General features: G+C 36.7%; 1 protein-coding gene and 1 long non-coding RNA gene across 6 annotated transcripts in view; one reads left to right on the top strand and one right to left on the bottom strand.

Annotated features, from left to right (window-relative positions):
• The window catches only part of ADCY8 (adenylate cyclase 8), a 260,609-nt gene that overhangs the window by 165,350 nt on the left and 79,631 nt on the right, over positions 1–15,628 (top strand). For all 4 annotated transcript variants that reach the window (XM_017013006.2, XM_006716501.4, XM_005250769.4 and 1 more), the window contains one exon: positions 7,614–7,714. In XM_017013006.2, coding sequence (XP_016868495.1) covers positions 7,614–7,714 — 101 coding nt within the window. The remainder of the gene's footprint in view (positions 1–7,613; positions 7,715–15,628) is intronic.
• LOC105375762 (uncharacterized) overlaps positions 1–15,628 on the bottom strand; it is a 34,014-nt gene that overhangs the window by 8,591 nt on the left and 9,795 nt on the right. The gene's annotated exons all lie outside the window — the stretch shown is intronic.

Below are 15,628 nucleotides of genomic sequence, written 5' to 3'. Positions count from 1 at the left end.
TAGGTAACGAGCAAAATGCACATTTTTGTCTTGGGGACATTCAGAATTTGTTGAACCACTCCATGTCTTATTTAGATGAACAGAAATGGGAACATGAAGCATGAACCAAATGGTCTCAGCTTTTCTCTTTCATTTTTCTAAATCACATATCTCCTAGTCATTTTCATGATCTTATTGTTAAAATGATTTTTAAAGATTTATTCTGTTATAGCATCAGGCTGCTCTTGAGTTTTTACTGCTCTAGTAAGTCCCAACATAGTATGAATATCTTGGCCTCCTCCTTCAGATGTGAAGGACAGGTTTCAAAGAGGCTTCGGGAAGAAATCCATCCCTTAATGAGACAGTAGCCTTATAAGACTCCTTTATTGTCTTGATATTATCTTGCAAAATTACAGCTGTTTCTACCACCCTCTAGGTAGTCAAATGATATCAAGTACCATTTCGTGTGTATTTTTTAATCAGATCAATTAGCCAGTTCCAGTCCCATAAAGCCAGCATTTTCAGAGTCAGAAGTGCCAATTTCACCTATAACAGTGTAATATAGAATTACAGAATTATGAGGCCATTGACCTGGTCACTGAAGCAATTGTAACGCTTCATGGGTAGACATCATTATCATCTACAACCAGGGACTTCTAGGTAAAGAATATAGCAATAGTTACCACTCTCTTGGCTTCTCCATGGCTGGGGGTGTGGGTGGGGGGCTGGACCAGTGAAGAAAGGAAGAGTTCTTCCTCCCAAGGATGAAAGATGTTGGGGAGGGTGAGCTGGAAGAATGGTGGTATGGAAGGTTTTTAAAAGTTTTTCTTGAAATTCTCATGTGCCCAGTCTAACCCCGCTATCAAGGAAGGACATAACATTAGGAAATGTATTACCAACCTAGGGTCTTCTGTCACCCCTGGGCAGGTGTCCTCCCAGCCTTGCACTTCTGAAGCCCATCAATCTTAAACGCATGTTAGCATGTTTCCTTGTGAGTCAACTTAACATGATTAAATCCACATTTGTTCAGAGGTCAGTTTGCTTGGGAAGAAGTATGTCAGTGAGACATTCTGCACACTCACCTGTCACTCATAGAATTAATTGCTCTTAATAATAATTTTATTGGTGTAGGAACCAAGATAGAGAAGATGGCCTATTTTGAAATTCAAAAATTACTGAAAATTAGTCTCATTGCAATTATGCCTTGTATCCAAATGGTGTATTTTATTTATTTATTTATTTATTTATTTATTTATTTATTTATTTATTTTTTAAGTCAGAGTCTTGCTTTGTCTTCCAGGCTGAAGTGCAGTGGTGCCATCTCGGCTCACTGCAACCTCCACCTCCTGGGTTCAAGTGATTCTCCTGCCTCAGCCTCCTGAGTAGCTGGGACTACAGGTGCACACCACCACACCCAGCTAATTTTTGTATTTTTAGCAGAGACAGGATTTCACCATGTTGGCCAGGATGGTCTCGAACTCCTGACCCCAGATGATCCACCCACCTCGGCCTCCCAAAGCACTGGGATTACAGGCATGAGCCACCGCTCCCAGCCCAAATGGTCTATTTTAAGGATGCTCTATGCTACTGCCATGCTACAGAATGCATGAATTTAACAACAGAACAGTGGTTAAATTTCTTCATCCACTAATGCAAAATGAACAGGTTATCCCAGTTGAGAATTTTCTTTTACAACTATATTAATATATACTAATAAAAGATGTGCTAGAAAATTTTCTTTAATCAAACTAAATTTATCCAAAAATGAAATGGGCTCCCAATTGAGGACTTGATTTCCCCCAACACTGGAAATATTCAAGCAGGAGTTAACAGCTTATACCTGAGAGATATTAGTGAGTTAAACTGGCATTAGTAAAGATTGGAGCAAGATGACAAATACAATTCATTCCACCTAGAAGATTCTGTAATCTCACCTACAATCTTTGATAAAAAGACAGAGTGGCCAGGCGTAGTGGCTCATGCCTGTAAGCCCAGCACTTTGGAAGGCTGAGGCGAGCAGATCACCTGAGGTTGGGAGTTCAAGACCAGCCTGACCAACATGGAGAAACCCCGTCTCTACTAAAAATACAAAAAATTAGCTGGGTGTGGTGGCGCATGCCTGTAATCCCAGCTGCATAAGAGGCTGAGGCAGGAGAATCACTTGAACCTGCAAGGTGGAGGTTGCGCTGAGCCGAGATCACACCATTGCATTGCAGCCTGGGCAAGAAGAGTGAAACTCGTGTCTCAAAAAAAAAAAAGACAGAGTACAGTTACAGTTTAGGCAATTAACTAGATAATTGTTTTAGTTATAAGCATCTTCTACATCTTGTAGAAATGTAAGAATCTTTCAGTGCCTTTTACCTTACAGTCAAAATGGAGAGTCTAGGAAAGCACTGTGGTTTTCCTCCCCCTCACCTAGGAAGAGTTCTTAGGACTATCCCAGGCATGGAAACATGGAAGGCTGGAAGCTCTGTCCATCACCTCTGTAAACGAACTTCCCTGATCATCTCTCTGTGGATAAGAAATCTGAAATAGATTTGTTTTGCATGTGATCAGACTGGGGTTTCTCAGCTTCTTTGTGGTGGATCTAAAAACCCATTGACCCTCATGACTATGATTTCATTTCTGAATATGTCTTTCAAGATAATTCAGGGCCAGAATCCCCAGACATGAACAAAATGAAACACAAGTTTATCCTGCTCCACTTCCTTGGAAGGAATGGGTCTGAACTTCATCAAATCAAACAGGAATTTTCATTTTTGAAATGATTTGTTTATCATTTGAAGATTGTGGTCACTCTCCTTCTGTTGCATTTAAATAAAATCTACTGTCTTTTGTTTTCTTCCCTATTATCAGTTCACCCATCCTGGCCTAAAAAGGGGCTCATTATTTTGCATTGCATTGTGATGAGGATCCATTCATCAATCAGGAAAATATAGCAGTGGCATTTTATTAAACTAATTTTTAGGCTGTTTCTAATGTCCATTCTTTGCCCATATGCTTTACTTTCATTCTAACCAAGATTTACATAGGCTTAAATTTTTAACACATTCCCTTTCTGTATATCATAAATTGCATCACTGAAATATACCCAAGAAATCTGATCATGCACCTATGAACAAGATAGCCTTACTCTGAAAATAGCAAGGAAGCAGTAGCCAGTGAGTCCCTGCATTCTAGAGCAAAACTCACTGGATTCTCTATTTGCAATCTGTGAAGGTGTGGTTGAGTTACTCAGTTATTCAAACCCTCAGTTTCTTTATCTACAAAGTGAGGATATTATAAACAAGACCTTCTTCAAGAGTTGCAATAGTTAAATGAGAACATTCATGTAAAGCGTGTATCACAGCACCAGCCTTGCACTAGATATTAGTCCTTATTATTCAAATTCCTTATCCTAGATTTTGACCTTTTTTTGAATCAACTAAGACCCTAAAGATTGAGAAATAATAATATTCCAAATCCTAATCTAAGATCTCCGAAGAAGTATTTGTAATTTGTTCCAAGTGTCTGAATTTTGCCACCAACTGACTATGACAAGCTCTTTCACATCTCTGATCCTCAAGTTTCCTATCTGAAAAAAATATATATCTATATACATATGTGTGTGTGTGTGCACGTGCGTGTGTGTGTGTGTGATTGCCAAGTTCTCTTGTAGACCAAGGGCTCAGTAAATTACAAGGGTTCACAGGTCATTTCCAAGAACACTTTTCCTAAGGATCCTAGAAAAGTTAAGAATTCTACCCGGTGGTGGGTAATCTTTCAAGAAGCAAGGGGAATAATGAGAGTGGGGTCTTCTTCCAAGTTAAAAAACACACAGGAGGTCATAATTTCTTTAGAAGAATCTTTTATAACATGGTGGAAAAATCAGTCAACACTTTTGGGGTCACCGCTGAGTGCAAGGTACAATACTGTACAGAGGAATAGAAGACAGCATCCTGCAAGGCAACACCATTGAAAAGGCAAGCTTCACATAGAAGAAAGTATAGAAATAAAATAAGTATAATTAATTGATTGACAGTAGGTAACATTTATATAGGATTATCGTGGAAGGCACTGTTCTAAGCATCTTATATATATTACCTCATTTCATTCTCCCAGTAACCCTTATGAGATAATTCCTATTATTGTATCCATTTTCTAGATAAGGAAACTGAGACATAGAAAGCTTAAAGATTTTGTCCAAGGTTGCATAGGTGTTAGAGCTGGGATTCAAATCCACTTAATCTAGCTCTTGATTAGTTCATGCTCACAACTGAGATATAAAAGGATAAGTGGGGCCAGGTGAGGACAGAACAGAGATGAGACAAGGAGTCCTTAACTTTGGCAGGCAATAAGCACACAACTAACTTAATAAAGCTATGAGCCAGAGTGTTCAGACCTTTACAAGTCAAGAGGAAGTTAAATGAATCACTAATCAATCTCAGTACTCTATCATTCTGAGCCAATTAGGAATTTTCTTTTCGAAGTCCTGCTCTCCTTGCATTTCCAGAGTAACAATGCACCACATTCTGAAACACAGCATTTTATATTTGATGATGTCAACTTCACAATTATAAGATTCTTCTTTTATGTGATTATGCTAAGCACTGAAGTTCAAACAGGAAAATAATAGAATGCTTCAAACTTATGAACTACATTAACGCCAAACTTATGAACTATATTAATGTTCCCATTTGACAGATAAGAAAAGTGAGGTTCAAAGAAATTGGCTTTGCTCACAATAAAATAGTGACAAATCTAAAAGCAAAGTACGTCTCCGTACTTTGTCTCCACCCAATTTGCCATCTGAAGAAAATTGAAAATATAATATCTTACGCAACTTTAGTCTGGACAAATGATGATTATGTCACATTTTTTAAGTCATCAGTAAAAAACCTTCATAAAAGTAGTCACAGAGACTCAGGCTTGGGATCTATAGGAAGGGATCTTTTCATAGGATCATGGGCCAATAATGGAAAGGAAGCCTTTGCAAAGCAATGAGCTCTCAGGCTCAGGATCTGAGTGTTCAACTTGAGGGTGTTTAGAATCCTGAGATGCCCTGCTTAGGACCAGAGAAAAGAAACCCACTTTCCCAGATAAAGCAGAGAAGGTCATCGGATGATAATCAACAGACATTTGAGGAGACATCAAGAATGTTATGAAAAGGATTTCTGAATTGGGAAGGCAATGGTCAATTACAGCTCCAGGATGCTGTGATGATGATAGTGATGATGACAGGTGGTGATGTTCATGATGATGATGGGTGGATGACATAAAAGAAGAAAAGAGCCAGGCACGGTGACTCATGCCTGTAATCCCAGCACTTTAGGAGGCCGAGGTGGGCGGATCACAAGGTCAGGAGTTTGAGACCAGCCTGGTCAACATGGTGAAACCCCATCTCTACTAAAAATACAAAAATTAGCCAGGCATGGTGGTGGGCACCTGTAATCCCAGCTATTCAGGAGGCTGAGGGAGGAGAATCACTTGAACCCAGGAGACAGAGGTTGCAGTGAGCCGAGATTGCACCACTGCACTCCAGCCTGGGTGACAAGAGCAAGACTCCATCAAAAAAAAAAAAAAGAAGAAGAAAGAAGAGGAAGAGGAGAGGAGGAGGAGGAGGAGGAAGAAGGAAGAAGGAAGAAGAAGAAGAAGAAGAAGAGGAGGAGGAGGAGGAGGAATTTTAGTGTACTGATTAACTACACTAAAATGATTATTACTGCTGTTTTTAAATTTTCATTATCAAATCTACGCAACCATGCTGGTTTGAAATTAACCAGTAGCCGGCCGGGTGCAGTGGCTCACGCCTGTAATCCCAGCCCTTTGGGAGGCCGAGGCAGGTGGATCACCAGGTCAGGATATCGAGACCATCCTGGCTAACATGGTGAAACCCCATCTCTACTAAAAATACAAAAAAATAGCCAGGCGTGGTGGCAGGCGCCTGTAGTCCCAGCTACTCGGGAGGCTGAGGCAGGAGAATGGAGTGAACCTGGGAGGCAGAGCTTGCAGTGAACCGAGATCACACCACTGCACTCCAGCCTGGGCGACAGAGCGAGACTCTGTCTCAAAAAAAAACAAAAAAACAAAAAAAAATAAACAAAATAAAAAAAAAACAGTAAGCCAAGGATGAATAATTAGATCCTCTGTAATTGGTTGTTAGAAGGAATTCAAACATTTATCTTTCTTTGAATTAACTGCTTTGTGGCTAATTAATTTTCAAGCTGCTCTGTGTAGGCCTCTATGATTGTGACCTGTTCTTGGGTAGCACTATTGGTAACTATTAATAATATTAATAATATGGGCTTTCTGTGGTTTTATCAGGGTTGAGGATGGCTTAAAGTGATTCTTCAGAGCCATGTTCCTGGTTTCCCTCCAGATAACAAGCAGGTTGCCAGCAAGTGGACAGAGGCCTCAATACTGGAGAGTAGAAAAAGCATTGCCCTGCAAAAGCAATAACTGTGCAGTCTCTGAACAGCATTGTGCTTCATCCAGAGAGCTCAACAACTACAGGATATTCTCCAAACCTTAGCTATGACACTAAGAAGTGGGGTTCAGTCTAAAACCCAGACCACCCCAAGAAGTCAGAAAAGAATAAAAATCATGTAACTGTTTATTGCAAACACCATACCAACAACAGATTGGACTGATTTTATTATTTCTTGACCTGACTGAAACCTTGTCTTGGTATTGTGGACATAGAGCCTAAGATGTTGTGAGACCTCTATTTGCCAGCTTCTTGTTTGAAGTAACCATGAAATGCAAATCAGAGATTACAAAGTTCCAAAGTGACACTTAGTTTTCTATCCCCCAAAAATAAAATAACCTGCCTGCTACTAGTCCTCTCTCTCATTAAGGTCAAATGTGGGGCTTGGTTTAGGCTAATTCTAAGGTCTTTTTCAGTTTTAAAAACTTTCCCACCTTCTGGAGGAAGTAGATATTCCCCAGCTTAGTAACTCCAAGATAGTTCAAGAGAGTAGGCAGAAGTAAGGCAAATACACATTGAGTGCTGACCTTCTAGAAGCTTTTAAAGCTAGACAATGAAATTACTGAGTACTCTGGATAATCAAAATAAAGTTACCACCATTCCCCAGGGCTGCCTTGAGCAGACACGAAGGGCATCAAGCATATTGGTCTATTAGTCTTGGTTTCTCTTCTGTGAAATGAAAAGGCTACACTAGCTGGAGATCTCTTAGGCTATTTTCTATTTTAAGAGCCTGAGAATTTATTTTTAATAAAAAAAAGGAGGCAGAAAGACTTCCTGGTAAAACATTTCCCTGTGTTCCCAAACTTAACACGAAACAGTGCAAGATCCTTAAATGACTTAAGTTTACTCATGAAGAAAGTCAATGCAAATTTGATTTGCTGCATATATGGATGTGCGCTCTTCTGTTCTGTTAAAATAATGTTAGTTCAGAGGGAGGGGAAGAACTGGATAAGCTCATGCAAAGTATCCCTCCCATTGTATTTACTCCTGGGCTCTCACTGGAAAGTTGGCAGGAGGGATGGGGATAATGCTCTGTGAAGGTTTTATTAAGATATGAATTATTCTTAATTTAAAAAAAATCTAATTGCCTTGTTTCTTCTTGATGTTTCCCTCAACCTCAAACACTGCACTCTGCTGCAAAGTAACTCATTCTCTCTTTTTTTAATTACAGTATTCTCAAATGAGGGATGAAGTGTTCAAGTCAAACTTGGTCTGTGCATTTATCGTTCTTCTATTTATCACGGCAATACAAAGTTTGCTTCCTTCTTCAAGGTAAATGTAAAAGAACTAATTGATCTGGTGAAATATCTTTGTGAGATTCCTCATGTGGAGTCAGCCAGCTGACTTTTCAAAGAATCAGAATTTAAAATAACTGAGTCCAGGACGCATACCAAAATGTTTGACAGTATCAATGTCTATTCCGGTTGTCTTACTCTGCTAATAATCTCAAAACTCTGTCCAGACAATAATCTTTTTCCCAATCTTAATAAAAACAACAACCAAAATTAAAATAGGCCCCACTCTTATTTGACATGACACTCATGAATGCAGAAAATAGGTATAAGAACCTCAACACCATTTACTTGTGCTTTTGTTAGTATAATTCATTCACAGATACAGCATCGTAGCTCCTTGGGTCCGCAAAATCAACACTTTAATAATAATGCAAACACCTGTTTGTGGCCAGCCACTGTTCTACTTTACGTACAAAAACTTCTGGAATCCCCATGACAACCTTATGAGGTAGGTGCCATGATTATCCTCATTTTAAAGAGGAGGGAACTGAGGCTCATAATAGTTAAATAAATTCCCTAAGATCCCATAGTTCAAGATGTTACTGCCTAGATTCAACCCAGGAAGACTAGCTCTAGAGTCTGGGTTCTTAACCCTCTATTAAACACATATTGTCCAGGTTATAGATGCTCTAGCCAGGATTTGAACCTAGTTCTGGATTAGTCCAATAGCTATGCTTTTTCCTCTCCTCTAAACTATAAGCTAGCTCCTGCCTCTTTTCTCAGCTAAATTGCCTTCTCCCTATACTTACTATGAGTTTTCCCCTTTCACATGATTAAAAATAATATCAACAAATATTTTTTAAATACTTAATATAGGCTAAGGAACATTATAGCCCCTGAGGATGACACAGTTTTGGAAGAAGAGGTTCTGTAACCTCTAAGACATAATTTAGTAGGTGACAAAGACATTAACAATGGCTCCCAGTTACTGAGCACTTATACATGCCAGGAAAGTACTACATCTTTTCCATGGATTGTCTCAAAAAGCCTCAAAAATAACTGATGAGTGAGGCAGCATTCCAATTCCCATTCGTAGATGAGGATTTATCCCAGGTCACATGTCTGTGTAATATCTGAGCTGAAATTTGAACCCAGAGACCAAGTCTGTGCTTTTAGTTACTAGACTGCTTTGCATCAAAATTAGTGATTCATTCTGACCACATGACTCAAGGAAAAATTTGCAGAAAAGGTTTTGATTTCACTAAGATGAGAGAGGAAAAAGTAGGAGAGTATTCCATTTGGAAAACTGCTCTGGCAAGGCCATACAAGTGAGAAAGGCCTTGTGTTTATAGAATAGTGATTAAATGTAAGAGCCAATAGCAAAGGGCTTGTGCAAGAATATAGTAGACACTATGGCTGAAAAAGAAGAGAACCAGCAGAAGTTCAATGTTCATAACTATGTTAAAGACTTTGGAATTGATTCTGAGGGTGAGAAGGGGCCCCAGGAGATTTTTAGGAAGATTGTAGCATGATGCTGTGGAAGAAAGATGTTCAAGTTAACTAATATGCAAGGGCAGGCCATGCTTGACCTTCCCCCTAATTAGCAGAGGACATTAGAAAGAGAGAGGGGATTCCGGGAAGATGATGGGACAGATGGTATATTTCTTAATCTCTCAGAATTCTTACGAATCTGACCAACTAGATAGCAAAACCAAAAACCTCATGGACTATATTTATAATAAACAAGGGTGATAGACCCATACATTCCAATATAGAAGTGGGTAGCAACAATCCCCCAATAGCCCCAAAATCTGTGTGATATCAGTACCTGTATGGGAGAAAGCAGAAAGAAGTACTGGGCATGTCACACCGGGGAACAAAAGGATCTCAATACAGCCAACAGATATGCACTGAGAAGTGCTGTGAGCCAAATTAAGAAAGCAAATGAAAGTGGGAAGGAGTTTGCCCAATCCAATAACCTTTTGAAAGGCATGAAGAGCTGGAACCATCAAGACACTATGAACTCGTGAAACTGATCATCTAATCTCCCTCTCATGATAAAGGCCTGAAAGGAACTGTGTGAGTGAAATCAAAATCACTTACAATAAGGGCTATACAGGTTAAAGTGGGAAGGAATTCTAGCTATGATGTTTTGAAACACTGCATGAAAGCAACCAAAGAGAAAGCTCTATAGAGTTAAAAAAATAAATAAACAACCCATGCTCTTTCTAGAACTCTGAACCATGCTCTTTCTAAAAGTTCAGGGAAGTGTTTTACACAAAAATGAGCAACAAAATATATTGATGGCAATACTATACTATTATAAAAAATAAGAGAATAACAAGTAGAATAATCTTCTTATAGTCATTGAAAGTGCTCCAGAAAGACATGCTCACAAAATATATCAAAACTTTAACCTATTCTTTTAAAAGAAGCTGAAGCACTTAATGTTGTTCAAGACATGAAATAACAACCTAACCAAAATTAGAAAAACTTAGAAATTTGGAAAGACAGCTCAAGAAATAAATAAAAATTTTAAAATATATATATTTCAGAAATGAAGACAGCAAAAGAGAACAAACAGCACATAAACGCAGCAAAAATTACTTAAGAAATATAGAAAGTGAAAGAAAGAACATCATTTTTTAAGTCAAAAAGAAAATTTAAAAGATTGACAGAGCCTTCTTCCCCACACCTTAATGTCACACCAACAAGGACCCTGTATACTAACCACGGATACTAACAGCTGAAAGAACTGCAAGACACAGATTCTTTCTGAGGAAGAGTACTTAGGGAAGCCCATATCAAGAGGGGAAACTAATACACTAGAGGAATTTGAAGCTACTGGAACATACAACTATAGCAAACCTTAACCATAGCTTAACTCCCAGCCAGAGTGATATAAATCCTCACAGAAAATATCTATTTACTTCATTTTCTATTACCTGATACAATATGAACAGTTTTCAACAGAAAATTACAAGGCACACCAAAAAAAAGAAGAGGCAAAGCAATCATCAGAATCAAACTCAGATATAACAGTGTTAAAATTATCATACAGGGAATTTTTAATAACTTATTAATATATTAAAGGTTCTAATAGAAGTAGGCAATGTGCAAGAAAAAATGGGCAATATAAACAGAGAGATGGAAACTCTAAGAAAATCAAAGGAAATAAAAGGAAAGGATAAAAATTTAAAAACACCTAACAGAAATAATGAATGCCTTCAATGGGCTCAATAGTAGGCTCAGAAAGGCCAAGGAAATAATCAGTAGGCTTGAAGACAGGTCAATAGAAACTTCCCTAACTGAAATGCAAAGACAAAAGTGAATGGGGGTTGGGCAGGGGACACGGGTCAAAGCATCCAAGAACTCTGGGATGATTTCAAAAGAAGAAATATACACATAATTAGATTACCAAAAGGAGAAGAAAGGAGAGCTAAGCAAAATAAATATTTAAAGTAATAATGGCTAAGAATGTTCCAAAATTAATAATAGACAACAAACCACAGAATCACAGAAACACAGAATTTTAAAGGTTAAATACTTTGGTTAAATAAAAATAACCAACCAGGATAAACATCAAAAAAAGATATTGTATTCAGACTGCAGAAAATGCAAGACAAAGGGAAAATCTTAGAGGATACCACAGTGAAGGACATCATCTTACCAGAAGGAAGGACACTGCCTTACCTGTAGAGGAACAAGGATAAGAATTACATCAGACTTTTTGTCAGAAACCATGTAAGCAAGAAGAGCGTGGAGTCAAGCATTTAAAGTATTAAAAGAAAAACCATCAACCTAGAATTCTATATCCTTTATAAGCAGAGAAAAAATACTTTCTCAGAAAAACAAAAACTACATTTTTAGCCAACATTCCCTGCAAGAAATGTGAAAAATTTCTTCAAACAGCAGGAAAATAATGTAGATTAGAAACTTGGATCTCCATAAAGAAAGAGCATCAGAGAAAAAATAAATGAAGTTAAGTAAAATGTTTTTATCTTAATCTTAATTGATCTAAAACATTATTTTTTGTTTAAAGCAACAATATTAACAATGTATTTGGTGGTTATAAATATGGATAAAAGTGAGATGAACAATAGCAATGTCACAAGGGACATAAGGAAGGAATTGGTAATGCTTTATTTTAAGGTAACTGCATTATACATGAAGTGGTATGAAGGCTGAGTTACATTAATTTAAAATGCATATTTTAAGCTCTTGAGCAAACACTAAAAAAACGTTTTTAAAGAGAGAAATATAATTGATATGCTAGGAAAAAATAAAATTAAATCATATAAAATGCTCAATCAAAATCAGAGAGAATGTTAAACAAGGTGAACAAACAAAGAATAAATGCAATGGATGAAAAAGATAGTTACAAAGATGATGGATGTTAAACCAAGCACAAAAATATTACTCTTTGATGTTAATGGTCTCAAGATACCAATTACAAAGCACAGCTTGTCAGAGTAGATAAAAAAAAAAAGGCCCCAATAGATGTTGTATACAAGAAGCCCACTATAGGTATAGACTCAAATAAGTTAAAGAAATGAAGAAATATACCATGCTAACATTAATGAAAAAAAAACTTAAGTAGCTATATCAATTTCACACCAAATAGACTCAGAACAAGGAAAATTATCAGAGATAAAAATGGAAATTACATAGTGATTAAAAAATCAATTCTCTAAGAAGAACGAGCAATATGAACATTTATGTGCCTAACAAGAGAATGTCAAACTACATAAGGCAAAAACAGATAGAATTGAAAAGAAAAATAAATAAACCCACTATTATAGTTGGAGACTTCAACATCCCTCTGTCAGTAATTAATACATCATGTAGGCAGGAAATCATTAGAGATATAGATAACCTGAATTTACCTAATCAATATTAATAGACTATTCCACCCAATGGAAGAATACAGATTCTTCTCAAGCTCACATGAACAGTAACCAAGGTAGACCCCATTCTGGGCCATAATACACCTTCATAAATTTAAAAGAAGAAAAATAACACAAAGTATGTTCTCAGATCATAGTAGAGTTAAACTAAAATTCAATAATAGAAAGATAGCTAGAAAATCCCAAAACACTTGGAGATTAAATAACACACTCTTCAATCACACGTGAGTGAAAGATTTCAAGAGACATTTAAAAATATTTTGGGCCAGGCGCGGTGGCTCACGCCTGTAATCCCAGCACTTTGGGAGGCCGAGGCGGGCAGATCACGAGGTCAGGAGATCGAGACCATCCTGGCTAACACGGTGAAACCCCGTCTCTACTAAAAAATACAAAAAATTAGCCAGGCGTGGTGGCCGGCGTCTGTAGTCCCAACTACTTGGGAGGCTGAGGCAGGAGAATGGCGTGAACCTGGGAGGCGGAGCTTGCAGAGAGCCAAGATTGCGCCGCTGCAATTCAGCCTGGGAGAGTGAGACTCGGTCTAAAAAAACAAAACAAAACAAAACAAAATTGAACTAAATGAAAATGAAAACACAACTTACCAAATTTGTGGGATGCCATGAAAGCAGTGCTTAGAAGAAAATTTACATTAAATGCATATATTATAAAAGAAAAGAGATCTAAAATTAATAACAATCTAAGCTTCTACCTTGGGAAACTACAGAACAAAAAGCAATTTAATCTTGTAACAAAAAGGAGAAAATAAATTCTACCAATTAGGGCAAAAATCAATAAAACTGAAAACAGGAAAACAATAAAGAAAATTAACAAAATTAAAATCTAGTTACTACCGACCAATATCTCATAAACATAAACATAAAACCTCTCAACAAAATATTAGCAAATGAAATCTAACAATGTATAAAAAGAAGCATACGCCATGCTCCAACAGAACTTCTCCCAGGTATATAAAGTTTATTCAACATTCTAAAATCAAACAATAGTGGTTAACTATATTAGTAAGTTAAAGAAGGAAAATCATATGATCTTATCAATTGCCAAATAAATGCATTGGATAAACTTCAACGTCCATTTATGTTAAAAACTCTCAGAAAACTAGCAGCAGAAGGGAACTTCTACAACTTGATAAAGAATATCTCCCAAAAAAAAAAGCTATAGATAACATCATCTTTAGTGGAAAAAGACTGCAGCTTCCCCCCAATATCAGAAACAAAACAAAAATACACTCTCACCACCTGTATTTAATATCATGTTGGAAGTCCTAGCTATTGAAACAAAACAACAAAAAGAAATAAAAGGCATACATATCAGAAAGGAAGAAATAAAACTATGTTTATCTACCAATGACATAACTTTCTATACAGAAAATCCCAAAGGACCCACCAAAACATTTCTAAGACTAATAAACAAATAAGTCACAGAATACAATGTCAATATACAAAAGTCAATTGTTTTCCTTTATATCAGCCATCTAACGTTGAAATTTGAAATTAAAGAAACAATATTATTTACAATAGCACCAAAAATGAAATACTTAAATATAAATTTAACAAAATTTGTACAAGAAATCTTCAAAACACTGATGAAATAAATCAAAGATGTAAATAAATGAAGAGATATTCTGTGTTCATGGATTGGAAGACTTGCTATTGTTAAAATGTTAATTTTTCCCAACTTGATCTATAGGTCAATGCATTGTCAATCAAAACTTCAGCAAGCTGTTTTATAATATCAACAAACCAATGCTAAAGGTTGTATGAAAAGACAAAGAATATAGCATAGCCAACACAATACCATAAAAGAATAACAACAAAGCTAGAGGATTAATACTACCTGATTTCAAAACTTACTATAAAGCTACAGTATGATGCTAAAGAAAGAATAAACACATCGCTCAATAGAACAGAAAGAAAAGCCCCAAAATACACCCACACAAATATAATCAATTGATTTGTAGCAAAGATGTTAAGAAAATTCCATGGAGAAAGGATATTCTTTTTAACTAATGGTACTGATAAAATTGGATGCCCAATTCTCAGCAAACTAATACGGGAACAGAAAACCAAACACCGCATGTTGTCACTCATAAGTGGGAGTTGAACAATGAGAACACATGGGCACAGGGAGGGACACATCACACACCGGGGCCTGTTGGGGGTGGGGGGCAAGGGAAGGGAGAGCTTTAGGACAAATACCTAATGCATGCAGGGCTTAAAACCTAGACGATGGATTGATAGGTGCTCCAAACCACCATGGCAGATGTATACCTATGTAACAAACCTGCACGTTCTGCAAATGTGTCCCAGAACTTAAAGTAAAATAAAAAAATAAATTAAGAAATTGGGTATCCATATGCAAAAACTTGAACCTATACACAGACCTTAAACCTTCACAAAAATTAACACAAAATGGTTTATATACCCAAATGCAAAACTATAAAATTTCTGGAAGAAAACACAAATAAAATTTTGGTTTTGAATTTGGTGATGAGTTTTAAGACACACCACCAAAATTATGATCCATGAAAGAAAAAAATTGTAAGTCAGACTTTACTGAAATTTAAAATGTCTGATCTGTGGAAGACACTGTTTGAGAATGAAAACACAAACCACAGACCAGAAGAAAATATTTGTAAAACATGTGTCTGGGAAAAGATTTCCACCCAAAATATTCAAAGAACTCCCAAAACTCAACAACTAGAAAACAACCCAATTTTTTAAATGGACAAAAGATTTAAACAAACAACTCACCAAACAAGATATACAGATACCAAATAGGCATGTGAAAAATGCTCAACATCATTGGCCATAAGGGAAATTTAAATTAAAACAATGACCTACCACTACATACCTAGTACAATGACTAATATATAAATAAATAAATAACTGTCAATACCATTTGCTGGAGAAAACAACAACAACAACAAAAACTCTGTGGCATATCCAGACAATGAAGTAAGATTCCATTTTAAGAAGGAATAAGATATCAGCCACACAAAGACATCAATGAACCTTAAATGCATATTC

This window comes from Homo sapiens, chromosome 8, assembly GCF_000001405.40.
Source record: "Homo sapiens chromosome 8, GRCh38.p14 Primary Assembly".
NCBI classification, from domain to species: domain Eukaryota; kingdom Metazoa; phylum Chordata; class Mammalia; order Primates; family Hominidae; genus Homo; species Homo sapiens.
The sequence above is the reverse complement of the archived record's forward strand: the minus strand, read 5'-3'. Positions and strand labels throughout refer to the sequence as shown.